Raw genomic sequence first — 27,964 nt, forward strand, 5'->3', positions numbered from 1 at the left:
ACCCCATCTCAGGTATATCTTTATAGTAGTATGAAAATGGAGTTATACAGCATCCTAATTCTGCCACAAGTCATTGGAAGAGTAAGTTAACTCTTTGGTAATCTGATAATAATAATGACCACTTCATGAAGATAATATTGTCATCACATGAGATAATGCATGTGGCAACACCTAGATTAATGCCTTAGATACAGTAAGTAACAGAGTAATAAATGTTTTAAATAGTATATGCATAAATACTACCACTTTTACCCTTTTTGTGGATGTAGACTTGTATATTTAAATAGTAAAGAAAAAAATGAAGAAAGTTTGAACACTATATTGTTGACCTATTTACACAGACATAATGCCTAGCACAACTACTTGTACTCAGCTTCACATTCTATTATACACAATTGGGCAGTTTGTTGTAATTTTATGTTTTTTACGGGGTTGGGTACTCTGTTGATGGTAAGCAATAAATACAATAGAGCACATTTTATGCTGTTTATAGGTCTAAAATATCTCATTTTAAAAATTGGTCAGACTATAATTTATAGCGGCATATGTTAAGTTACCTATAGCCTAAGGTTCAGAACATTTTTTCTTGGTGAAGCAGCCCTTTATTTTTACCACCCATCCACTATTTTTTAGGATTTTATAAATTTTACATAATACAAAACACAGGCATCTAATACAAAGCCAGAATGTCTGTCGGTATTACACACATATACCCGTGAACATACACACCTATTAACAAGCCCTTGAAAAATTGACATAGTAACATTGGTTATGTGCAGAAAATCTGTATCATTGTATATGGCTTACATGTAATGAATAGAATTATATAATACATGTGGCTTTTTAAAAATTATTCATATGCTGTAAATAAATGATATTATTGCAGTTGCCCAGGGATTTTGCCTCAGTCTCACTCAGCCTGGTCTTTAAAAATCAGGAGAGCACAGATAAAATGTACTATCTTTAGTCGTAGAAGTACTAATTCTGGACCACAAATATTTTCTTGTTAATTCAGTGTAGATCCAAGGTGACTACAATGTGAGGATGGATGGTGCTCTGTCTCATCAATAGTACTATTATTGTTTCTATGGCACCAAGGGCCAATCACTCAGAAAATCTCTATCTCTGCTGCATTTATGTTTCTGAAAACTTTATTTCCCAGAAGGAGGTAAAAAGGTAAATAATTATAAAAATGCTGGCCTTAGGTGGTTATTTTTAAGTAACTATTGTAAACGACATGTAATGTTCAGACCCAAATTTAATATATTATAATAAAAAGAATGTAGGATTTGGCACACAGTAGGCTTAGTACTTGCCTTTACCTTTGTAGGAAAAGTTGAGCATGTTCTATAGACTTTGATCTCAGAGTCTTATTCTGTAATATGAATAGAACAGTACTTCCCACATAGATCATCCTGACAGTGACCTTTGGATAAGTTCCCTGAAAAGTTTCTCATGCAGAACCTTTCCTTCTTTCCCTTGAGCGTCCTCAAGTTAACTGTGGCAATTACTATAGGAATGGGAAAGGCAATGGGCCTGGGAAAGGGTGACCTGGATACAACTTTGTTTCGTATCAGCTAATATTTGTTTCACCTGGACAAGTCACTTAATCCCCCCAAACTATAGTTTATTCATTATAAGAATTAAAAAAAAAGAAAGAAACAACAGTATCTAGTTTGACTACCTCACTAGTCTGTTGAAGGTAAATTAAAAACTAGATTTCAAAGCGCTTTGTAAACTGTATCAAGAAGCCTTTAAAGAATATAGCTCAGCCGTTAACTGGAAGGTATTTTCAAGTTGTTTTGTTAAATAAAGAATGTTGATATGTAGTGAACTATGTAAAAAAAGTTTGTTTTTAAACAAGTAATGATAAAAACTATACATATACCCATATATAAAAATATATTTATATATTTATATAATATATTTGTATCTATATATTTACATCTAAATATATCTGTAGATATGTATTGGTGTAATTCCATCAGCACAGATAAATATCAGCATTGCTTACATGGGCCAAGTAAAGTAGGGATGGTGGAAGAAGAGAAAAGGTTAGCATTGGAACAGCAAACAAACCAAAAAACTTACAAAACAATTTCCAGAAAATAAAAACTATCTATATCCAAGATAAGTATATGTGTGTGATATAATCTATGTTAATCTGAAGTGTATGAATATTATTTGCATGTTTATGTTTATAGACATAAACTATACAAGGATAATCACCAAACATGAATGGTAGACATCTCAGAGTGAAATGTGGCAGAGGAATATGTTTCCATTTTATTCCTAAACATAGTTAGTATTTTATATTCTTGTTCAATGAGCACATATTACTTAGAAAATTTTAAATATGCACGTTTTTATTGTGAAAACCAAAACAAAATTACCAACAAATCCAAGGAATTATTATCCACTATACCAGGCATTTTTTTTAACCTATGTTCCATTATTTCTCCTGCTTTTCCCACTGCAGACATTACTAGTTGATTATAACCTCCTTTCTTATTAAGACTAAACACAGCCTCATAATTCTTCCTCACACAGTGCAACAGGAGCTACTATTAAGTAATGAGAGATGGTCATGATAAATGAAATAATGACTTGCTATTGAGGCATTAATTTACTTCCTTGAAGGGACAACCCTGGATTTTCATTTCTGCAACTGCACTGCATCAGCAAAATTTTAGCCAACTGTGTGTGGAATAAATGAGTATTTTATTTAGATAATAATTATAATTTAAACAATGGTTATTTTCAATAACGATATTAGACAGTAATTGATACAAAATTAATCGTTCACATACGTCAATCTTCAACAGGAAAAAGTCATTGAAAATAAAATGATATTTAAAAAGAAAGCCTCTAACATAGAAAAATTGGACACATATATCAAAATTGTGTAGTTATGCTCCCATTACTGTTGAAGAAACAGTAAGATACTCACTTATTGTTAAAGTAGATTATGATCTCAGCAAGATTATTTAAAGAAAGATCTCCAACGTGACACTGCTCTCTAAATTCATAGTAATTTTCTGTAAAGAACTGTACCTCAGACTCATTTGCCTTATCTGTTAAATGGAACTAAAGGAATCCCTCTCCTTCAAAAGATTGAACACATGTGAAAATGCTCTGCTAACAACTAAGCAGGATAAAAATGTGAATAATTGTGATTATAGATGGTTATTACTGCATGTGATTTATATGAAAAAAATGACATGCTAGTCATGATAAAACCTAGTAGAATTTGGTAAAGGTGATCCTCTTGGGAGAAAAAAATGGTTTCTGTACTAATAACTTAGTTTGTCATTTGATTAAGCATCTTCAAATTGTTTAAAAGTATAATTAATTATGGATGTAGACAGTTGCATCCTGTAACTGTGCAGTAAATGCTTGTGGTGTTGAATTGCGTAGAGGAGGGCCAGGAGTATATATCTTCAGATTCTTGCTTTATTACAATTCAAAATTCAAACACTTTGAAGCCTTCTATTACTATTTGTAAAATGAAAAAAAATCAAGACATATGGAATAAAATGGTTAAGAATACAATCTGTTTTGGTAGTTTGAAGAAGTGACTCATTTGATTATAGCGCCCTAAATTTCTTTCCATCAGTAAACATTGTCTGATCAGCCATAGTATATAAACCTTGTGTTGGGTAATTTAGGAAACACTGTGGGAGAAACAAAATACTCAAAAGAAGTTAAATTTGAGGTGGTTCATAAGTGTCTCTATAAAGATAAAATGCATTGTGGGGGCTCAGAATTTAGTTATGTCTAACATATATTGATTCAATAATTACCTTGCTCTAGGAACTGTGGTAGTTTAGGATACAGTTCTTCCAATCAGATAGATTTTAGAGAAAAGAAATAATAAGCTATTAGGACTGCACAAGACGATATTTCAGAAGGAATCCTAGGGCATATAGCTGTACAGAGAAGACCATCCCTCTGCCATCTACGCCCACCAACTCTATTAGTTCAGCTAGGAATGACTTTTGGAATGAGGTGATCCTTCAGTTGTGTTTTAAAGGAGAAGAAAATGGCTGAATCAGAGAAACTGAGCCAAAGAATGAAAGGGTGAATCAAAGAAAAGGTAAAAGTAAAAGTAAAATTTCATTCAACTCAAATTTTGAAGTCAGTGCCTTTTAAATATATTAGGTTATGTAAAGGTTGATTATCCAGTGAGATACATATTATTTTGTCCCACTATTATTTTATTTTCATTTTTATGTATGCTCTATAGAGACCCAGTTTCATTAAATGGTAATGTCAGGATTGGAATTCAATTCCATTCTAACCTCTCTTTCTTTCATTTTCTTAATATTAACACTTTTTATTTCAGCTCCTTCATTCTTCCAGACATGGAAGAAGAAATAAGCATAAAAGCCTTAACTTTTCTTTCTAGTAGTAAGAATGAGATTAGAAGTTTTCATACTAATTTTTCTTTTTTTTTCCTAAGACCAAGATAGAGACTTACATAAGGGTTAGTCATGCCTAAGGAAAAAGTTAATAAAATGCTGATCACTGACCATTCCTTATCAAGTTGAGTTCCTAACCAGTCCTCACTTTCTTTCAGAAAATATTACCCAGTAGAAAGAATATTTTCAAACATCATGCCAGAATGTCTTGTAGAAGAGGGGTAAACAAGTAAATATTCTCAGTGAATGTAATAAATGCTACAATAGAGACCAATACAAAGTGCTGAGGAAATGACCAACACTATGAGAATGCTAGGGAGGGTGTCATGGGAAGATCATATTTAAGAGACGTTTTAAGGGATAAACAGGCATTTCTTTTTCAATGTGGAGGGGAAATAGGACACATTCTATTTTGAGTGAACCTCTTAAATGAAGATACCACAATGTGTCTGAGTGAAGTTTTGAGTGAAGAATAATCAACCTGCAGTCTACCATTAATGGGCATTCAGATTGATTCCTGTCTTTGCTATTGTGGATAATGCTACAATAAACATATGCATGCATGTGTCTTTATGATAGAATGATTTGTATTCCTTTCAGTATATACCCAGCAATGGGATTGTTGGGTCAAATGGTATTTTTGTTTTTAGGTCTTTGAGGAACTGCCACACCATTTTCCACAATGGTTGAACTAATGTATGTGCCCACCAACAGTGTATAAGTGTTCCTTTTTCTCCACAACTTCACTAGCACCAGTTATTTTTTGACTTTTTAATAATAGCCATTCTGACTGGTGTGAGATGCTATCCTTAGCAAACGGACGAATAGTTAACAGGAACAGAAAACTAAGTACCCCATGTTCTCACTTATAAGTGGAGCTAAATGATGAGAACACATGGACCCATAGAGGGGGACAACAGACAATGGGGCCAATCGGAGGGTGGAGGGAGAGGATCAGGAAAAACAACTAACGGATACTAGGCTTAATTCCTGGGTGACGAAATAATCTGTACAACTAATCTTCATGACACAAATTTACCTATATAACAAACCTGTACAGGTACCCCTGAACTTAACATCTTAAAAAGACATGAATTTATGGGACTGTCTAAACTGCTAGGTAGCATCTGATTGTGTCCTCCCTAGTATTCCAGAAGTTGAGCACAGGAAGACTGCTTCAGGGCTATTTGGAAAGACATGATGATGGCCTCATTTCTCTTCTAGCATGATGGATCAGTATCAGTACAGGATGCACTGGTTGACCGACCATTAGTGGAACAAAATCACTTCAAGGACCTTCATAAAGGATAGCTGCTCTCTCTAACTCTATCTCTTTCTCTGTCTCTAGACACACCACATATATACACACACACTCTCTCTCTCTCACACACACACACTCACACACTCATGATGGTTTCTATGGCTATGTTGCCACATAGTCTGAAAACTGCATGTGACATATATCTTGATTCTGCCACTTAAGAATTTAAAGGTCAAGGGTAAGCTAATCCATCTTTCTGAGAATTCATTTTTCCTCATTTGTTAACTAGAGTGATAATACCTCCCTGCCAAGGTTGCTGCGATAATTTAAATATAAAAATAGATTTGATAACCCCTGGCATAATCTAACAGACAGTAAGTGCTCAGCATTTTTTTCTTCCTTTCACTTTCTTGAGGGAAAATTTTTGTAGCTTACAGATTCTTGGTCACCAATACCAGGAAAATAAATTACTTCTATGTACGACAGAAAGAGGTAAAAATACAGATGATGTGTACCATATTCTTAGTGTGCATGAATACCACTGACACTTATTAGGTCCACCCCAGGTGCCAGACACTGGTTAATCTTGGAGACACAGGACCAGTGAAGGAAAAGACCCCTTCCTCAAACAACTCACAACCAATTAAGATCAAGAAATACATGAATCACAGAAAGTTAGGTAATAAAATGGAATTAAACTCAGAATAAGACTTGCTTACAAAATCTATAATGGGTCCAATACCCATTAACATGTCTACAACACCTATTGCTAGATGATATTTAAGTAGTGAATGAATTTAGACTAAATACTTGATACAGTTCTGCGTCACTCAGGAATTCAGTTTGTGTGGGAGTATTTTCAGACCAAAGGGCATGAATTAATTGCACTAACCCCAAATAAAAATGCATTTGAGAAAACAGGAAAGTATTGTCATCTGAGAGACAGTTATTTTTTCAACTTAATTTTGTTTCTTATTTTGTCTGTCTTTTCTGAAGATTAAGACTAACTCCTTTTTTTCCCTCTTAGCTTTGATGTATGTGTGTAGGGGCTGTAGATGGTATAAAAATAACGTTTTCAATAATATATGCTCTTTCAGATAAACAGAACTCTCTCAGTAAAATACATATGAGAACATTCCTTCCAGCCACCAGCTGTGATTCATTTATTACCCAGTTGGCCAAAGTTCTTGGGAAAAGAGAATGGTCATTTCTCTCAACATCCACCCCCACAATTCTCCAACTTTTACCCCTTTTCCGTAATAATGCCAATCATACCTTATTAGATATTTTCTTACCCCCACCCCACAACCAGAGTGTTTTCCTGCTCCACCTGCTCTTCTGACTCAGCGATTATTTTCTGGTATTATAAAAGCAGACCAAATTTTGCTTAGAAAATTTAAAGTAAAATCTTTAAAAGGGGACTGAATGTTGGTGCTTATTGATAGGTACTATCATTTTTCTCAAGCAACATTCCTTTGATGTGGCAGACATAATTTCAAAGGATTTTAGAAACATTCAGATGTTCAACTGACCTTATACATTGGTACAGTACAATCAAGAATTCCACTGTGAGCCTTCCTTTTGCCATAAATAATACAGTATGCAGTCAATAGAGGACAGACAACAAAAAAGGGAACTATTAGAAGGGGTCTGCAGTAATTTTTAATGTCACAGTATGTTTCTGATGCTATCAAAGACTTAACCAAGAAAATGTTCAGATAAGAATTAAAATTTATATAGTAAGTCAGTTTGTTTTGATTTAATTAGAATTATAATTAATGATGGAGGTGAAACAAACTGAGGTAGGAACTTGGCAATAATGTCTATACTCCAGCTTTAGAAAGGTACAATTCAACGATCATAATAACCAGAAATATGCTAATGGAAGTTTAAGAAAAAATGCAAATGGCTCTGCTGGGATGGATATTTTGAATGTCAGTACTACTTCAGATTAATACTATTAAGACAAAAGGTGCGGTCCATAGATGCAAGTACAGTAGGGTCTTGTGTTCTGAATGAGAAATGTTAGGAATTAGAAAGATTTCTTCCCTTTAAGTATGTTCACATTTAAGTATGTTCCCTTTAAGTATGATCACATTTCTTTCTAAACCAACTTTCAGGGATACTTATAGAAGCCTTAAAGAAAATATGCTGTGTTTAAATTATATGAGCATAAAGCTGAAGGGGCCTTTGTAGTCTAATATTTTACAGATAATGGGAGTAAGAGTTAGAGAAATGAGGGAACTCTACTATCGTCATACCGATAGTTGGTAGCAACACTAAAATATAAATAGACCTCATTCCACTACTGCAAAAATATATTGGCAGCTTGGAGCTCCTATTTCTACAAATCCAACTTGCCCCTGTGCTAGAAATCATATCCTCACCTCTTCCTTCATCACCACCATAAATTGCAGTTGGAGGCATTCACTGAAAAATAAAAGCAAGGAAGATAAATTAAAAGTCAAATATTCCTGTTACGTTCTGATGCTCGGTTTTACTTAACTCATTTGCCAGGCGAAACTTTAAGGAAAAATTTATCTTTTTAGTTAACATAAAACACTTGTTTGAAATCTGAATTCATAGCAAAATATGATGTTTATAAAACAAGTTTCATATGTCACTGAAAAAAAGGTCTCCAAGGATCCTTTGCCTGTAGAAACATTTTTCTTGTTCTTGTTTCTTCCCTAGACTTTATAGTACATTTGTTTCTCTGTATTAGTGGGCAGTTGGGTTCAGGATCTCCCGTGAACACTCAAATCCACAGATGTTCCATGTCCTTGATATAAAATGGCAGAGTATTTGCATATAACCTATGTACATCTTCCCCTATACTGTAAATCATCTCTAGGTTACCTATAATACTTAACAGGATGTAATCATACATGTTCAGTACAGAGGCAAATTTTCTAAATATTTTTGATCCATGGTTCATTAAACCCACAGATATGGAATCTGTGAATACAGAGGGCCTACTCTATGTAGAAAAAGTTTTCAAGATCGTCTTATAAGAAAAACTTTAGTAGAACATGAACATATGGAGATAGTATGCTTTATACCTTATAAAATGATTTTTGCATTGCACCTAGCCTTTTATTCTGCTTTTTGGAGTGAATGGTTAAGTGATGTATGAGCTCTTTTTCCCCTCTTGCACATGTGGAATGGGAGGTGAGTTTGATAAAGCACCTGTACAAGGGAACAGCTAGAGACACTATGTCATAAATGCCCAATGTATAACAGGTAGACTCCTTAATCAGAGTCCTAAATACTCTGCAAAAATCACAAAGTAGTTTAGGCTCTTGCCTTTCTAAGTCCAGAAAATAACATCTACTACCATCATTTTCACTTCTACCTACACCTCTTCAGAATGCCAGTATGTCCTGCTGAACATTCATACCCAAGGCTCATCAAATTTAATGTGTCCAAGTGCACACATTATTGTTTTCCTCTATTTTCTTTCTGGTCCTCTTAGTTCCTATATAGTTCAACCTTACCAGAAGTTCTGAAAATCAATAAACACTCTATGTATTCTCTTTTCTTTCAACTATCACTACCTTAGTGCAGAATTTTCTTGTTCTTTGTTTGGACTGATGTTTAGATACTTTAACTACTCTCCTCTCTAACTGCTCTTATTTATAACAATTATTCTGCCATTGAAGTAAGAGTATTTTGCTAAAATTTAAATCTGTGCATGATCTACCCTAGTTTCTAATCACCCAATGGCTTCCTATCATCTGCAATTTAATTTCCAAATAATTCCTCGTCACTGCTCCATGATAAACAAAAGTAAACTTAAAACAAACTAAATTCCCATTGTTCAGTAAGCTTGGAAATGTTGTGTATTTAGCTTCCTTTAAACAATTGGTATGTCAAAATATTTGCAAAACTGAGCCATATGAAAACCTGCTTGACTAGGTCTGGCCCAAGCATCTTATAATTAATTCTATATACACATGTTCAGCCACTTCTCTTGTTACCCACTCTTACATTTTTTACAACATAGTACGCCTAACCACATATTTGTTGTTTGGTCTCTGTAAGAGCATATGCAAAAAAAATGTTACCCTTGAGATATCTCAAAGTATACCCTTTAAAACAGGTACTATCCTTTCTGGATCTCTATATCCCCATTACCTACAGTGCCTGTCAAACAGTAGATTCTCAGTGAATACATGATGACAGAATGGGTGGAGGGATGGGTGATGGTAAACTGACAGGCTGCAGTCATGCATTATTCTAGACAATGAGGCAGAAAAGCCCTACAGCAAGCTTGTCCAACCTGTGGCACATGGCCACTTATGGCCCAGGACAGCTTTGAATGCAGCCCAACAAAAATTCATAAACTTTCTTAAAACATTATGAGATTTTATTTTGCAATTTTTTTAAGCTCATCAGCTATCATTAGTGTTAGTGTATTTTATGTGTGGCCCAAGGCAATTCTTATTCTTCTGGTGTGGTCCAGAGAAGCCAAACAATTGGACACCCCTGCTTGACAGAGTAAGGTATGCTTAACAAAACAGTTTGTGTAGAGAGACAATGGCAAGTGTCTATGGCTTTCTGTTCTGTTTCCATTCCTTGCCTGAGGGAATATTTACCCTTCACATCTTAGGCTTCTAGTAATGAAGGGACACACAAGCCATGAGGAGGTCATCAATGAGACCCTTCTTTTGGAGAAAAAGGAAGATTTCAACTCAGCCTTGGTTTAACCTGTTTCTCTGGAGAGCTTGCCTCTTTCTTCTTTGTTTTTTTGTTATGTTTTGTTTTGTTTTTTTACAGAGAAGTGAATTCTCAGTTGAGAACACTTCATATTTCACAATATCCTAAATGAATATTAACCTCAAGGGACTGTTCTTCTTGTTTTTGTTTTTTAATTTTTCATATAGCTTTTTGGGTTTTTTAAATTTGTTTATAGCTTGTGGGCTCAAAAATGTCAAAGATGACTACTGGTCGGTTAAAATCTGCAGAGCAATTAATTGAATTAGGACTCCACAGACTGGGCAAGGGTATTTAAAATTTCTCTTTTTAACCCTCATTTGATAAGTTGCTCTCATGTTAATTAATACATTAGGGCCCATGTATTAAGATTGAGTCTTACAAAAATCAATTGACTTTTCTTATTGTTCTGCTTTATAATATTCACTTTTTAAAATGTTGGGGAATAGAGTATACATTTGACGCCATAGGAAATAAAACTGCTTTACTGCTAATATATTCATGATAGCATCCCCTAAGGCTTCAATGAAACTGCATGAAGAATATTGAAAATCATCTCTAAATAAGGAAACAAAGATTCTGTTAAGCAGGAAATAAGACATTAGGGAAGTTACAAACACATGTTAATTGAAAAAAACATAAACTGCCAAAGACTAAAATACCAGAATAGCTACACTGGTTAAGGGCTATTATATGTATTTGCTAAGCATTGATGTTAAAGGAGGAGGGGAAAGATATTTAGACTGATTCGATAAGTATCACAAGTGAAATATGATGGGGTTATTAAGTGGAGACTTTTCAGCAGGTGAGCAGAAGTGACCTAACCTGCTCATGAAGATTAGAGTATAGATTACTCCTTGAAAACTGCAGTGAGAGATGTCGCCAAGATTTTTGGCTGGTTTACGATTTGGCTCAATATTTTGTTTGCTTTTTTAATGAAAGGAGACTCTAATCTTGGAGGAAATAATCATTTCCCATGTGAATCAGTGATTCCTTCGTTTTTTTATCCAAAATTACAAATTTAGAATTGAAAGCAACAATAATGATAATAATAATGACACGTATAATGCAAAACTTGTTTAGGTTTACAGAATGTTTACAGTTGTTTGCAAAGCAATTGCATTTGTGTTGTCTTTTTGATGCACACGAAAACACCACAGAGCAGATGACATTACCATCATTTCAATCAAGAGGATCTCAGAGGTAGTGATTTTCTGAAGACACACCTCGGTGCAGGAATTTTGTTTTGTTTTGTTTTGAGACACAGTCTCGCTCTGTCTCCAGGCTGGAGTGCAGTGGCATGATCTCGGCTCACTGCAACCTCCGCCTCCTGGGTTCAAGCGATTCTCCTGCCTCAGCCCCCGAGTAGCTGGGATTACAGGCACGCACCACCGCGCCCAGCTAATTTTTGTATTTTTAGTAGAGACGGGGTTTCACTATGTTGGCCAGGATGGTCTCAATCTTCTGACCTCATGATCCGCCCACCTCGGCCTCCCAAAGTGCTGGGATTACAGGCGTGAGCCACCACGCCCGGCCGAAATATTTTTTTAATAATAACTACTGCCACCATATTTTACTGCCTGCTATATTACACAAATTGCCTAGGTACCTTATAGATATTTCTATTCCTTATAACAATCTTCTGTGGTAAGGATTATGAATGTGACTTATTGATAATAAAACTAAAAGTCAATGTGGTTAAGTGACTTTCACAAGGTCACACAATTAGTTTTAGAACAGCCTTGCCACAAGGTGATGTCCTATCTTTTAACCGTGACGTCTCCATTTTTACCCTAAGAAACTGTCATCCAGGTCCTATTTATATACTTCCAGGATTAGAAAGCTTTCTGTGTACTTAGTATGATTTATTATCAGATATTCTGTAAAACACGTTCTTCAATGGGAATTAAAATTACAGCTTGTTGTAAGATTGAATTAATATAGTCTCAATGACTCCCTCTTCCACAGAAAGCCTTTAATTCTGTAAGGAGGGTTCCAGTATTCCAATGTTAAATGCAGCAACCACGGTGGCTCAAGCCTGTAATCCCAGCACTTTGGGAGGCCGAGGTGGGCGGATCACGAGGTCAGGAGATCAAGACCATCCTGGTGAATATGGTGAGACTCCCGTCTCTTCTAAAAATACAAAAAATTAGCCAGGCGTGGTGGCGGGCGCCTGTAGTCCCAGCTACTCGGGAGACTGAGGCAGGAGAATGGCGTGAACCCGGGAGGCGGAGCTTGCAGGGAGCCGAGATTGCGCCACTGCACTCCAGCCTGGGCGACAGAGCGAGACTCCATCTCAAAAGAAAAGAAAAGAAAAGAAAAGAATTAGTTTTGTTTGCACTGTGGATTTGACAGGCCATGATGAATCATGGCCCTCGCCCATTGGCTCTTTAGTTATAGGCATGTCATTTCAATGTCACCCACAATCTGAAAACTCTAGCAAGATCAACATTGCAGGTTGCTCTCATACTTGGCCTACTTCTGTGAAATTTATCAAAAGCCCATCAGGCTCTCAAATTTGTAAGGGATTTTAATAGGTCATTTCATCAGAGATTTTATCTGATACTTAAGAACCATCTAGAAATGCCTTACAAATGAATATAAGTTTGGCAAAAACTGCTTTTACTTTTGCACCAACCTAATACCTAGAGTACAGAATGTAATGTACTCACAGGGATGGGAAACTCAATGTGGCCTATCCTCTGTTGAACTGAGAAAAGAGGAAATTAGCACATTTAATAATTACCCAAAACATATGGTTTTAATTTTCTTATTTTATAGGTAAGAGAGTCCAAACAAATTGATTCAAGTAGCACATCCCCAGTAGGTTTTGTGCAAGTCTTTGAACCTAGATCTAACTGGCTTTTTCTTTTATATTACACTATCTAACAAAAGGAAAACATAAGCAAATCATTTGCTGATTACTTCTGTAACACAGACTGAATCAGGTGAGGCTTTTGTTTTTTAAGTTCTTGTTGTGTGTATACATGTTTTAATCTATATACTGGTGAGCTGGCATGAATCATTGGCTGAATAATGTCTGAATGTCTCCAGAGAACACAGAATGTGTGACTGATACAATCAACATATAATGGATGGGTTTAGAAATATGAAGAGTCTCTTCAAAGAGAATGAATAGTTCCCAAGCCAGAACAAGACTTGACTCATTGATATCAGCTGAGCTAAAGAAGAAAAATATGTTAAGAGAAAATAGGTTGTCAGCAACAGCAGCTGAGAAAAATGCAGAGAGAGGAAAACCAATGTTTGCAATGCGTATCTGGACAGTGTCTAAGGAAAGAAAAATTGAATCTGGGTGATGTGAGCATTGTCTCAGAGGAGCTTAGTGTCCCTCTGCAGTCCAATCCTCTCATATTACATATGCTCCTTTTGAGGAAGAGGCCTGCTACTAGAGGCAGTCACATTTAAGAACGTTGAATTGACTTGATTTTCTAGGAGATAGAGCGTTAACAGACTTAATTTAAGAATAAGTCTTTATCAGGGTTCTTCTACTCTTCCTTGAAATAATTTATTTGCACAAAATTAGTAAGACAATCCTGGGTCAGGGGCTGCTAATTCTACATGGATGAGTGCCAAAATCCAGATACTTCTAGGATTTAGGGCAAACTATCTCCTTCACTATGAATGGAATGTTCAGAGTGGGCCATAATTTGAAACTGAAATAATACAATCCAAGATTTGGCAAGGGCTTAATTAAAAGACTCAGCCTGCTATGATGCTAGTGTTATATCAAACTAAATTTGGCCTGAGGATGCTCCATACTCTAGTCCTGACATAACAAACTGAAACCTAACTTAGTGCATAAACTGAAAGCCTAAATTAGGAGCATACTTTTATAACAAACAGCTGAGGGTCAGCCAACCACAGCAGTTGAACTTCAGTCAATTGCAGGCGGCCAACTGTTCAAACTATGTTCCAATAAGGCAAACGCTGAAATATAATCAATCGAGCTATCTCTGTACCTCACTTTCATTTTCTGTACCTCATTTCCATTTCCTATCCATAAATATTGTCTGACCACGTTGCAGACCAGAGTTCTCTGAACCTGTTTAGGTTCTGAGGGCTGCCTGGTTTGTGAATTGTTCCCTGATCCATTAAATTTTATCAAACTTAACTTGCTTAAGGTTTTCTTCTGTTAATACTAGGACGCAGACTGCCTCTAACCTATTTATATTAGTCAGGGTAGGCTAGATTATGGTGACAAATAGATCTAATTAAATGTGGTTAGCTCAACACAATAGAAGTTTGTTTATTGCTCATATTAATGACAGGCCCTAGTTTGACAGGAATTAGTTGGTGGTAGTGTTTGTGTGAGTTTTGTTTTGCAGGGAGAAGCTCTTCTCCACACAGCCAGTCTTGAACCAAGACTATGACAGCTCTGGCATCTTGAGTTTGTGGTCCCCGAGGTTACCCTTGAGATCATCTCTTTTCCCAAGTTGAAAGGAGCAAAACTCACAGAGGAACATGTGGAAGGGTTTTATGTTCATGCCTATAAGTTGTATGTATCACTTCTGATTAGCTATAATTCAGTCATATGACCAATATAACCATAAGGGACATTGGGAAATGTAGCTTGGCTGTGTTTCTGGGAAAAACAGGAGAAAGGGTTTGCCAACATCATTAATTACCAACTTAGGCAAAAGAAATTCTACTTGTAGATCAGCTAATGTTACAGAAGGAATATATTAGGGGTCAAATAGGGTTTTGTAAGTTATCCCTACAGCATTCCACGTGTGTGTATGTGTGTGCGTGTGTGTGTGTGTGTGTGTGTGTGTATTTCTTGTTATAGCACTTTTCATCTTTTTCTTCCTGTCCTTTCTTCTCTGGTAGAGTTTATTGGAAGAGACAGGTTTTGGAGTGAGAGGAACTGGGATTGCAGTCCAGCCAGCTCTTCTACATTTCAGCTACATAGCCTCATCAAGTTTTAGTTTCCTCATCAGTCAAATTAGGGCAATAATGTGTAGGCACTAGAAGGCCAGTCTGGCATGAGATATGATGTCAGAGAGATTCTGTGTTTTGGCCACATCTGCTCATATTAGAACAATCTGGTCACTAGAAAAATAGGAAATAAAATACCTTTGAGCTTGACTTTAAAAAGTCACTTAAAATTTTTATTCTTTTTTTTTACATTAACTTTATTAAGATAAGCTTTATAAACAACAACATTCAATGATTTAAGTGTCCAATTTGATAAATGTTAACAAGTGTAGATAGTACTGTAATGGTAGTCATAATAGAGAATATTAATATGTATTTCCAATACCCCAAACCTTCCCTTATGTTTCTCTGCAGTCAATATATTCCCATTCCACCCCTGGCCCTGATAACCATTGGCATCATTTCTGTCAATGCAGCTTTTCCTTTTCTGGAACTTCATATAAACGAAATCATAAAGTTTTATGTGTGGTCTCTTTCATTTAGCGTGATGTTTTGAGTTATAGCCATGCTTTGTGTATATCAATAGTTAGTTTCTTTTCAATGAATATTATTCTATTGTATAGATATACCAAATTTATTTATAAATTCTATGCCTCAGTTCATAGACATTTGTATTTTTTGGCTTGGCTAATGTGAATACATCTGTCATGAAAATTTGAGCACAAGTCTTTGTGTGGACACATATTTTCATTTCTCCTGAGTAAATACCTAGGAACTGGACTTCAATGTCTGTCTTGCTTTGTTTTAATGCTTAATAATTTATATATGTTTGCTAACCTGGCTTATATCTCTACATTGGGGAGGAAAACATTTTGCATAAAAGACAATAAATTTTGTTTACATGATTGGGATATGCCCCTATTTAATACCTTGACTGCTTTATATAGTAATCTCTCAAGCTTGGCCAGTGTGAATTTGACAGACAAATAGCAACATAAGAGCTATAGTTATGTTTCTTCCACATATTAAGTTTCTTAAGTTTCTTCCATGTATGAAGCACTGAACTTGGTAAGGTCTTAACAATAGCAACAACAAGTATTTAAACATCAACAACTCTGTCACTGATAAAGTTTTATGTTATTTTTAAAATGTAGAAACTTAAGCATAAAGATGATTATACTTGCCCAAAGTAACTAATTAGAAAGGGGTACAGAATGAAGTCCAAACCCTGATCTACCTGATTTTCAATCCCATACATTTTCCATTGATCTATGTTTTTGAACCTTCAAAGCTGCAGAAAACTTTCTGGCAATGGAGATCTCGTTCATGGTTTTGTCTGTAGGAAGAACCATCTGAGTGTCTTGCAGCTCCTCTCCCTTTACTAGGCACCTTTTTGCCTATGGCAGATTATGCAGAGCAAATATTGCCCATTACTTTCTGCATTACATAAAGTCAATTTGGATTTTTGAATAATTATTTCCATCAGACTCTCAATACAAAGTTTATGAAGATAGGTATACTTAATAGTTTAAATAATGAATATTATAGCAATCCTAGATAATAGAGAAGTCTTCAAAAAATTAATCACCACCTCAAAAAGGCAAGATAGTCTCTTACAGTTGACAAACCCCTTAGCAACACAAACAAAGCCCTATAAATCCTCCTAACATTTTCCCCCTTCCCTTTAAGTGTACCATGTTGGGCTGACTCTATATCATCTAACCTTAACATCATTCATGATCTAGACAATGACAAAAAGAGGATAATAGCAGTTCAATGTACTTTTAAAATGCCTTATCTTTATAAATAATATTGAAATCTCTTTGCTATTTTATCTATGCCTTGCATGTAAGGCAAGAATGGTGTTTTGCTCATAGGAAGTTCTCAAATTAGTACTTATTTGAGTACAAGGTCAATTTGTCACTTCCTCTTTCTATTAGTTTTGATTATACCATGCTAGAAGTATGAAATTATTTTCTATTAATAAGGAATTGTTTCAGCAATGGCTGAAGCAGAGAGTACTTGCAGATGTAATCTCAAAAGGTATGTAATGTGATTGAATAAAATAAAATAACTTCAATTATTTTCAATCTCATTATATCATTAAATTTATGCTATTTATTTAGCAGGGTGGGTGATCCAGGAAAAGACATAGGTTCATTTGAGTGATACTAGAAGCAATAGCTAGGGGATCTTAATTGCTCCACTGATGAACAAATTTTTTTTCCTTCTACTTCTCTGTTCTTCCCTTTCTAGTAAAGCTTACTGGAAGAGACACAGTTTTGGAGTAGGATGATCTGGGATTGAAGGCAGGCTCTTTTGCTTTACATCTAACTGATGTCTTCAAGTTTTAGGTTTCTACTGAGCAAAACAAAGATAATAATATCTTCTCATATGACTGTTGTGAGAATTAAGTGGCTGCTTACGCTACTCTCTAAGGTAGGAAATACAGAAAGAGAACGAGCTTAGATGGGTAATATAAACTTTATTCCTGTGATGAACTCAGGCGCCTGTCAGACATTTGTAAAATATTTAAAAGGTGATGAGTAGGTAGGGTAAATTTGGACAGCCAGATCAGAAGTGTAGAGTTTTGTGAGGTGTCAGATGGAATGACTGTTGTTTGCTCAAGGAGAGAATGTAGAGTCAGCAAGACTCTGGGAACACAGGGCAGAGACCCTGGGTGCATCAGCATGTCAGGAGTGGGCAGCAGTGCCTCAAAAGCAATGTAGAAGTTTCCAGAGTGGAAATGCATAACCATGTTCTTCTGCATCTTTGTGGGCTGGAGTACAGCACTGTGCTATTTTTGTGAGGCTTTTGTGCAGTTGATTAAAAAAATAGTATCTTTGAAAAGAACATTAGAGAACACCAAGGGAAACTTATAATTGCCTAAACATTTAAGTTTTCTAAGTTGTTGATGACAGCTGGTCGAGCAGTCTTTTCTTCTACTCTCCAATTTAGAGGGAAATGCTGCCAACAATCTCTCACCAGCAGAGGGACCAACCTGGATGCTTTCCTTGTAGCAGAGGCTGCTCTGGGGGTGAAAGTGAAACGAGAGCACCCAGGCTGTCTGATGGTAAAGTCTGCATCCTCGGCTTGATCTGGCCTCACTTTTGGCTCCATTTAACAAACATCCTACTTACTGAGCATCTATCACATATTGTGTTGGGCAACTGGGACAAAATATGACTGAGAAGCAGTCTCTGCCAATAGGAATTTTACAATCTAATGCAAGATTGAGCCATACCAATTCATGGAGACAAACACAAAAAGGAATGCCTAACACCATGCCTGGCCCCAGTTTTAAAATATTTTCTTTAACTGGAAGAGAGTTTTCCATTATGTACCTTCTCTCAGGCAATATTAGATTTGTATCTGTATTATGGAAAAGGTATTATTACCTCCATTTTTTAAAAGGGCAAATTAAGTCTAAGAGACTTCAATTTGCCTAGGATTACAAAGTCAACAAAAGGTAAAGATAAAATATTAGCTGGTTATGTTTGGACTGCAAAGCCCAGTTCATTACACAACACTATTTAGAAATGCAGAAAACCAACTGTGAAATTTTAAATGAGAATACACTGTTTACCTGCTAAATTCAAGAGAGGAAGAGAGGTCAGGGAGAAAGAAGGGACGATGGTGAGGAGGAAAGAAAAAAAAAGAGACAGGAAAAGGTGAGAAGAAAGACAATGCAAAGAAGTAGAAAGAGTGAGGAAAGAAAGTTAAAAGAACTAAGAGGTACAGGTGATAATGCTTTCCTGAGCTAAAGATAAACATCCCTTCCAGCCAATAATATTTATAAAAATTTCTTCTCCAGCATTCAGAAGGTGAAAGAAGATCATTACTCAGTAGGACCTCTTCAAAGGGTGAGTAAAAGCTGTAGAGTTAATAATGTTAAAAAATCTTTCCCCAAAATCAAGAAAAGCAGGAGAAATAAAAATAAAGCTCAAAGGGAAAATGGAACCAAAGATAAAAATCAGACCATGCTATTACTAACTCAAAGACTTGAAATGAGCAGAATAATATTTATAGACCTGTGGGCTGTGAAATGAAGGGATCTGTTTCTCTGGCATGCATATGTCAAATATAAATGCATGTGTATATGGACTTCATAACTTGCCTATCTTACTTTTATTTGAGGATCTACAAAATGTGATAGAAAAATGTAAAACTTGAAGTTAGAAACCTTTGAGTATGGCTCTCACATTTTACACAATTACTTGGGAAAATAATGTATATCAACCTCAGGGTCTTCAATTGTAAAATGGAAACAACATTCCAGCCATATCTATAAAACTTGTTATGATCAATTATCTTGAATCAAATGAAATGAGGTAGTAGTGGCATCATGATTAAGATCATAGGCTGTTTGGTAAGTGCTGGGTTTGAATTAAGGACCTGCTGTTTAACACTAAGCAAACTCTTTTACTTTGGTAAGCATCATTTTCTTGTCTATAGAATGGGGATAATAACAGTACTAAAGTCATGATGAGGTTATGGGAATTGTTTGGGATCACGCATATCATTGCCTGGCACAGTACCTGGTAAGCAGTAAGTTGTCAAATAATGCTATTTGATGATTGTAAGGATGGTGACAATGCATGACAATGACAAAGATAATCATGATGGTTATGCTTGGGAGGATATAATATCCTCTGGAAAGTCTTCCCTCACCTCATTCTTACCTCTGCAGGAGACACAAATGTCCACCTCTATGTTACTGTATGATTTTGAACATACTTCCACTATAGATCTTTGTTAAATAATGATACTGACAGGATGAAGGGAGTGATGATGCTGTAAGATTTATTAGGCACAGTATAGGTAGATAGCATATTATCTATCCTCTCCTGGTAGAGTGCCTCAATCCTGAGCTGAGTCATATCAATACAATCTTTTAAAAGATACTGTGAATGGCTGCTTTCTCACATGGCTCTCTTCACCTTCAAACCCACAATAGCAAGTATTTTTCATTCTTTGGATCTCTCTGATTTCCTCTTCTGCTACCAGTTAAAGACAATTCTGTGCTTTTAAAGAATAATGTGATTAGATTTGGTTGATTTAATGAAGTAATCTCCCTTTCCGTGAACTAAAGGTCAATTGATTAGTAGCCTAATCATTGATTAATAAGCCTACTAATTGATTAGTAGTATGATTTTGACTATACGACTACTATAGATGCTATTAAATAATCCCGTTGTCACTAAATTTCCTGTTCTTCTGTCCTGCAAATTTATGAGCATCATGAGATTCTGTTCCCTCACTGCCTTAGACATAGTAGACTTTCAAAGAATATCTGCTATAATATTCTGGGATTGCACACTGTAAACTCTAAAGCAGTAGAGGCATGCTCACTAGTGTAACTGTAATTGTTTATATAGGTTTTTTCTCCTGTTCAATTTTTTTTTTTAAATAATAAGCATTCAGTGTGTTGGGAAGGTGTCCAATATCACCACCACCTGTGATTCTGAAAACAGCTGTTTTTTGTTTGGTATAAAAGCAAGGAGGAAGAAATTGACTTGGAACTGGAGGTACTTAATAACAGCACAAAAGATAAACAATACAAACCTTGTTGATGAAAATGTGGTCATAGAAGACCAGCATAACTATCTCCTGGGATCTCATTAGACAAGCAAAGTCTCAGGCCCCATCCAAAACCTATTGAATTGGAATTTGCATTTAACAAAATTCTCAAGGGATTCCTGAATTTGAGATGCTCTGCTCTAAAACCCTTGGCATAGTCACTGAAGTAGGCAGAGAGCTCTTTTTCTGAATTATCTTCAGGAAACGGCACTTAGAAAGAAGCAAACATCTACAGATCAACTCTATGTACCAAGCTCAGGATAGGTGCTTTGATACACATTTTACTTTAAACCACCCAGTGTTCTTATAAAGTGTATGCTGTTATCATTCTTCTTCTTTTTTTTTTTTTTCCTGAGACACAGTCTCACTCTATCATCCAGGCTGGAGTGCAGTGGTGCGATCTTGGCTGACTGCAACCTCCGCCTCCCAGGATCAAGCAATTCTCCTGCCTCACCCTCCCAAGTAGCTGGGATTACAGGTGCACACCACCATGCCTGGCTAATTTTTGTATTTTTAGTAGAGATGGGGTTTCACCATTTTGGCCAGGCTGGTCTTGAACTCCTGACCTCAAATGATCCATCCGCCTCAGCCTCCCAAAGTGCTGAGATTATAGGTGTGAGCCACTGTGCCCAGCCATTATCATTCTTTTATAGATAAAACCATGATGCTCAGAGACAATGAATAAGGTAGGCAAGGTCACACAGTAAGCAAGTTGCAAAGTTTGAATATGATGTGATGATGCTGCTTCAAAGTCAATGTTTGCAGGAATCCTAAGCAGTCACATGAAGCCCTAATTTAGCGAACCTGTTCTTAGCCTCCAAACCTCCCATCCAGAACCATTACCTCTATCTGAAGTTGTGCATTGGCACACCTTGTTTAAAGGCCAGACTTCAAATTCAGGCAGGTATGTGTTGAAATCTCAGCTTCTCTATTTATTTGCTATGAAACATTAATATTCCTGTACCCAAACAGCAAAAACACTCCCTCCACAGGGCTGCTACAATGACTTAATATCATGTGCAATAAGCACTTGGCACAGTCCTTAACGGACAGTAAGTGTTCAACAAATACTAGATGCTACTCCAATTAAACTATTTCTTTCTAAAAACCTTCTCAATTTGATATAAATAACACTCCCCAAAATGTCTTAATGAAAGTATTGCTTATTCCTGTGTTTTATAGTCAACGGCCGTTTTTTTTAATACACTTGGTTATTTCAAAAGAACTCACACCAAAATATCTAATTCCAAACTCATGATTTCCTCTATATATTTCACTATAGCTTAAGCTATCTTTGGCATATCAATTACTATATTATACTGTAATTAATTTTTATTCCCACTGCAGTATGATTTATTTAATATCAGACACAATCTTTTATTCATATTTTGAATCTGCAGTCCCTAGGACAGTGCCTTGCACATCAAAAACATTAAGTGATTTTATATGTCATTGGTCTAGATATGCTTATACTTGGGTATGACCATAGAAATAGCATTTTTAATTGTCTCAGAGGGAAATGCCATGTTTTCTTTAGATCACACATTTAATAAGTATAAACTGTTCTATTTGGGAAAGTAAACTATTCACTTAAGAGTCTAGAGTTATTATTAAAATGGTGCTATATTCATAAAATCGTCTTTCATTTTAAGATCTGAAAAGAAAATTCCTACTTGTAAAATATTACTGGTTTGTCAGGGAACAAACAAATAAAGAGATACACTGCAATTCTGGCTCTTCGTTATAAAGAACAGTTGATATAAAGCATAGGATGAGTTGTCATTATGTTAACGGAAACATCAATTCTTTTACAACAAAGTCATATTCAATGGTTATTTGACAAGAATTGTATTTCCTGTTTCGTTGTTGCCACTAGTTGGTTAGTAATATAATGAACATTTTCAAGGCTATTAGTTTCGCCAATCTCTCAGTAGAGCTTACATTGTAAGGGTTGTGGAGCTGGCCCTCAGATCCAAATCCATAATACAGACAAATAGTATTCTATTTCACAGAGGTGACATGGGAACTTATGCAACGTTTCAACATATCTTGATATCAAACTGAAATGAAGCCTCTTTGGACTCTATTGTTAAAAATGAGGACCCTTTATTAACTATGCACCTCGAAGCTTCATGGTTGTGTTTTCGAAGAGATCATCAACAGAATAAGCATTACAATGCAACTTTTCTAGGGTTTGAATCCCAGTTTTAATATACTCTAATTGTATGAAGTTACAGATTTAATTAACTTTGCTTATTCTCATTTTTACATTTGTAAGACTGAAATAATCTTTTAGGGCTATTGTGAAGATTAAAATGAGGTAGCATGTATAGCAGGTAGGAGTGTACATAAACAGCAGTTATTCTACTCTTTCCAAAGTGAATGAATGCCTAGATTCTGGTCACATTTGATCTACTATAAAGGAATGTCAATATAAACAGCATAAGTTCCCATTATAAGACTCTGTTTCTATCTCTCTCTCTGTCTCTCCTTACATAGGCCGATATATGTGTGTCTAATTACATTAAGGTTTCCTATAACTAGGTGATGCATTTCCCTCTGAGAGTTAGGTTTGTAAAGTCTATATATAATGCTTTAGATTAGCAGAAGTTGCCTTAAGGGATAGAATGTCTCCCAAATTAGAATAGGAAGGTAGAATCTAAAAATCTAACGAAGATATGTCTAAAATTAGACTAAAGCTTTTAAGATGATGATGATGATAGGGGTGATAAGGATAGCCATCATTTATTGAATACCTGTTATGTGCTAGGATCTGTAGTAGATGTTTTACATACATTATCTGCACAGCTTTGAAAATACCTAAAATATTATTTCCATTCGAGTCCTCCAGAAACTAAAGTTCAAGTAGTTGGAATTACTTGCTTGGAGTGAAACAACTAATAACTGGCAGAATAGGAATTAGAATTTAGATATTTTCTGACTCCACAGTCAGTGGATGTAATAGACTACCACCGTACCCCATTGGAAGAAATGTCACGAAAGTGTTCTGCCAAGAACTACCAAAAGGAAACTTAAAAATCAAATAAAAAAATGGTGTTGCATCTTAAGCAATATTTGGAGGAGCTGTCATTGCTCTGACTAGCTGGTATGAATTCTGGACACTTTACAGTTTTAGCCCTGTGTGGATATATGTATAGCCGGTTAACCACATTATTTATTTTATAAGAAATAAACTTGGTTTCTGTGACTCAAATATTCATGAACATAATTATCACTGGATATACTGACCATGTTTCTGGATCCTCAGGGTTGAATCTAGCCTCTGAAGAGTGTTGTCCCCTAAGGCCCGGACTACAGCGCACCCACTTATCAATGAGTACGGGTTAGAACACTTAGCCAAACTTCTGCTATGACATTGCTGCTTTTTGTTGTTGTTAATAACATGTACCATCTTAAAACCAAATGGCTGTCAAATGAACATTTTTAAACAGATTTCATGGCATTTGGTATGTAAGTAACATATTCAAAATAACAACATAACCACAGAAAGTATTCACACCCTCTTTTAATTTTTCTATTTTTTTCTTTTACTTTATTTTCCTTTTCCAATGAAGGTAAAATAAATGTTTCCTATATCACAAATATCATATGCATAAAGATAAAGTAGTTTCTGTAAACCATTTCTACATGCCAGTATTTCATGGCCTCATATGGAGAAAACACAGCCACTTCTCCAGAAGGTGACTTCACTCCCAAATGCCAATGCCATCTACCTCCTGACAGGCTCTATCAAGCAGCTGCTACCAAAGAGAGACCAGCCCTTGCATGTCTAAACTGGCTGCCAGTTTGTTTTTTCATTGAAATTAAGTGCTACCGTATTATGAGGCTGGATCTGTCAAGCCCCATGTGCAGACAGTGGACCAATTATCAAGTGGCAGGCGGCACCTGGTTGGCTACAGCAGCTGAGAGACTCAAGGCATCACACACAGCACAGCTTAATATGATTGCTTTGGGGGAGCTCAAAAAGTAGTAGATCAAAAGCAACAGAATGAGTCAACCAGCCAGGGCCTTAGCCTGGTAGAGTTTTATATTATCCTCTGTGCTCTCCTCTTGTCTATTAGTTTAATGAAAGCAAATCAAGTTAACTATTTAATAAAACAATTTTCTTTTTAATAAAAGTCATTGCTGATCAAATTAAATGATGAATGTGAAAGAAGTTTGAAAGCATAACGTGCAATACACACTGATCACTGATGTGTAAGCCTTGGGTTAGGCTTGTCTCTGGAATTGGGACAGGTGGCCCTTGATAGTCTTCATCTATAGGCTCTTCTCTGATGATATGCCTGGAGTCTTGGCAAGACAGGTGCAAAAGAGTTAATATCTAGTTACCATGGATTTATATACCAAATCTCATACAGCTCTGTAGTGAAGAAAAGTCAGCGTTCTTGCAGGAACTGAGTCTGTCCTGGGTAAAGTCAATTACTAATTCTGTAACCTTTGCCAAGTCACTTCTTTCTCTGAACCTTGGATTCCTCATCTCTGTAATAGGTACAAATGTCTATCTCACATAGTTGCAGAAGAAATCATAGTGAAGTCTAGCATTTCAGAATTGCTCAGTCTATGTTAGTTCTGATCCCAAATTCCAAAACTCTACACTACTACGCCAATGTTCTAAGCCATTAGATAACCAGGAAGATGGGAAGGCAGCACTAGTCAAGGTCACAGCTATAAAAATGCAGAGATGCCCAGTTTCAACGTTTTAGAAATAGTGTCTATAAAATGTATGTGTCCGATTCTTAACTCATTTACCCCTTTCATAAAGAGAATTTCTATCGTGTAAATTATCAAGATAAATTCTACTAACACGCAGCTGCTTTATCATCCATGTATCTTATTTAGGAGCTTTCTTCTTTCTGAATACAGTCATGTATTCAGAACGATGGGCTATAGCACAATGATGGGATATAGTCTAAGCAAGGTGTCATTAGGGAATTTCATCATTGTTGCAAACCTCATAGAGTGCACTTACACAAACTTAGATAGTATAGCCTACTACACAGATAGGTTATATGGTCTGGCCTATTGCTCCTAGGCTATAAACATTTACAGCATGTTACTGTATTGAATATTGTAGGCAACTGTAACACAGTGGTAAGTATTTGTGCATCTAGACATAGAAAAGTTACAGTAAAAATACAGTGTTATAATCTTATGGTACTACTATCATACATGTGGCTTATAGTTGACCAAAACATTGTTATACAGTGCATGACTGTATAGTTTAAGAAAGATACAGAAAGACATCAGTGAGCATTTTTTCCCTCGTCATCGTGGAGAAGGATGAGTTTGATTGCAATGTTTCTATTTATCTATGAAAATTACGGATACGATCTTCAACCCATATAGAAATATCAATATTTTCCTATTAAGTCAGACACAATAGTCTAAAAGCCATGTATTTTAATTGATCTTTAATAAAAACACAAGGTGATGGTAAATTATTTTCTAGAATACTTATGTATTTCCCTAGAATGTGAGCTCCTTGAAAGCACAATCTATAGCACAAAGTCACTTCATGGCATAAACTGCACATTAATTACCATAATAATGAGCTAATTAACAAATTAATGTATAAATTAGATTACAAATTGACTAGCTCTTTTTTAAAAAAAAAATAAGCTTTTTCCTTTTTCAAAAATAAGTCAGCATTTTGATATAAGAATAATATAATATGGACTAGAGGGAGAGGGCACTTAAGTTCAAATACATTTAAATAGATAGATACAAAAATAAGATAGATGGTAGACACATAAAAGAAAAGGGAAGACTTTTGCTTACGGTAGAAAGCTGAGTGCCAACTAATGTATATGGATAAAGTGCTAGCATTTCAAAATCACCATTTTACACTCATCACTGGGAGAAAAAAAAAACTGTATCAGGCAAGAATCCTCAAAGGATGCTAAATCTAGGTGAAAATTATCATAAACAGGGTATTTTTATGATCCTAAGGAATGTCCTCACCAGCTATTTATTAGTTGCAAAGGAAGAAAACAGCAATCATACGATGGGGGAAACTGGAAAATACCTTGAATAGGTAGTCAAAATTAATATGACTAATGAGAATTTAGACATTACACGCCTCTAGACATGATACCCTGAGAAGGACAAAACATCACATAACCTGAATCTAATCATGAGAAAACATTAGATAAATAACAAATAGTGAATCACTCTATTTAATAGAGGGGAGTATCCTCCCCTCTATTAAAAGAAAGGTATTGAAAGAGAGGTAAGGAGGCGTGATAGCTAAATGTAATATCCAACTCAAGACTGAAAATTGTATTGATGGGGAAAAAACACTATCAAAGCTGACCTTGGACCATTTGAAAAAAGGGGACTATAGAAAGTAAATAAGAATATTGTTATCATTATTAAATTTATAGAAGTTAATAACTGTATTGTCATTATTTAAGAGAATCTTCTTATTCTTAGAAAACTATATTGATATCATTAGGGTTAAAGGTCCATAATTTGTATGATTTATCTATAAATGTCCAGAAAGTCCAGAAAGTATACAGAAGTTATAAATCAATTATAGTAACATGTTGACAATAGCTTAGCCTGGGTAAAGGGTATTGACTGCTTTTTGTGCTACCTTTTTTTTTTTTTTACACATTTTCTGTAAGTTTAACATTATTTGCGAACCAAAAAGCAAACCATTTTCTTGAAAAAAGCATTGGGATATATATAAAAAACAAGTGATTTATAATACGGATCACAGACTTTTATGGATGAACCTGCTCTATGGGGGATAAGTTGGGGGTAGAATAAAAAATGCCAGTGTCCTAATTATTTTAAGACTTCCTAAGCTGGTCATATTTTTATCTCCCACAAATCTTGTCTCATACTTTCAGAACATGATTATCGTTAGTTCTCTATCTTAGTTCTTAGAGTTATAGGTTTGTCACACAGGCCTCATAACTCATGCTTTTTCTCTGACATCTGACCCCTTGAATATCTTTTGAAGCCAGGGTAATACAAGGCAGATGTTCTTCCAACTCAGACCAGAACCTTCTAGTACCTCAAACCACCTGGGCCTGGTGATATGAAAGAGGGAATCCAGGCCAACCTC

General features: G+C 35.6%; 1 long non-coding RNA gene across 1 annotated transcript; it reads left to right on the plus strand.

Annotated features, from left to right (window-relative positions):
• On the plus strand, positions 1 to 27,944 carry LOC105369409 (uncharacterized). The gene is made up of 3 exons (XR_001748502.2): positions 1 to 81; positions 19,106 to 19,154; positions 27,860 to 27,944. It is a non-coding gene; the product is annotated as an uncharacterized LOC105369409 (long non-coding RNA).
• Positions 27,945 to 27,964: the final 20 nt, after the last annotated feature.

The sequence above is a fragment of the Homo sapiens genome, chromosome 11, assembly GCF_000001405.40.
Source record: "Homo sapiens chromosome 11, GRCh38.p14 Primary Assembly".
Taxonomy (NCBI): Eukaryota; Metazoa; Chordata; class Mammalia; order Primates; family Hominidae; genus Homo; species Homo sapiens.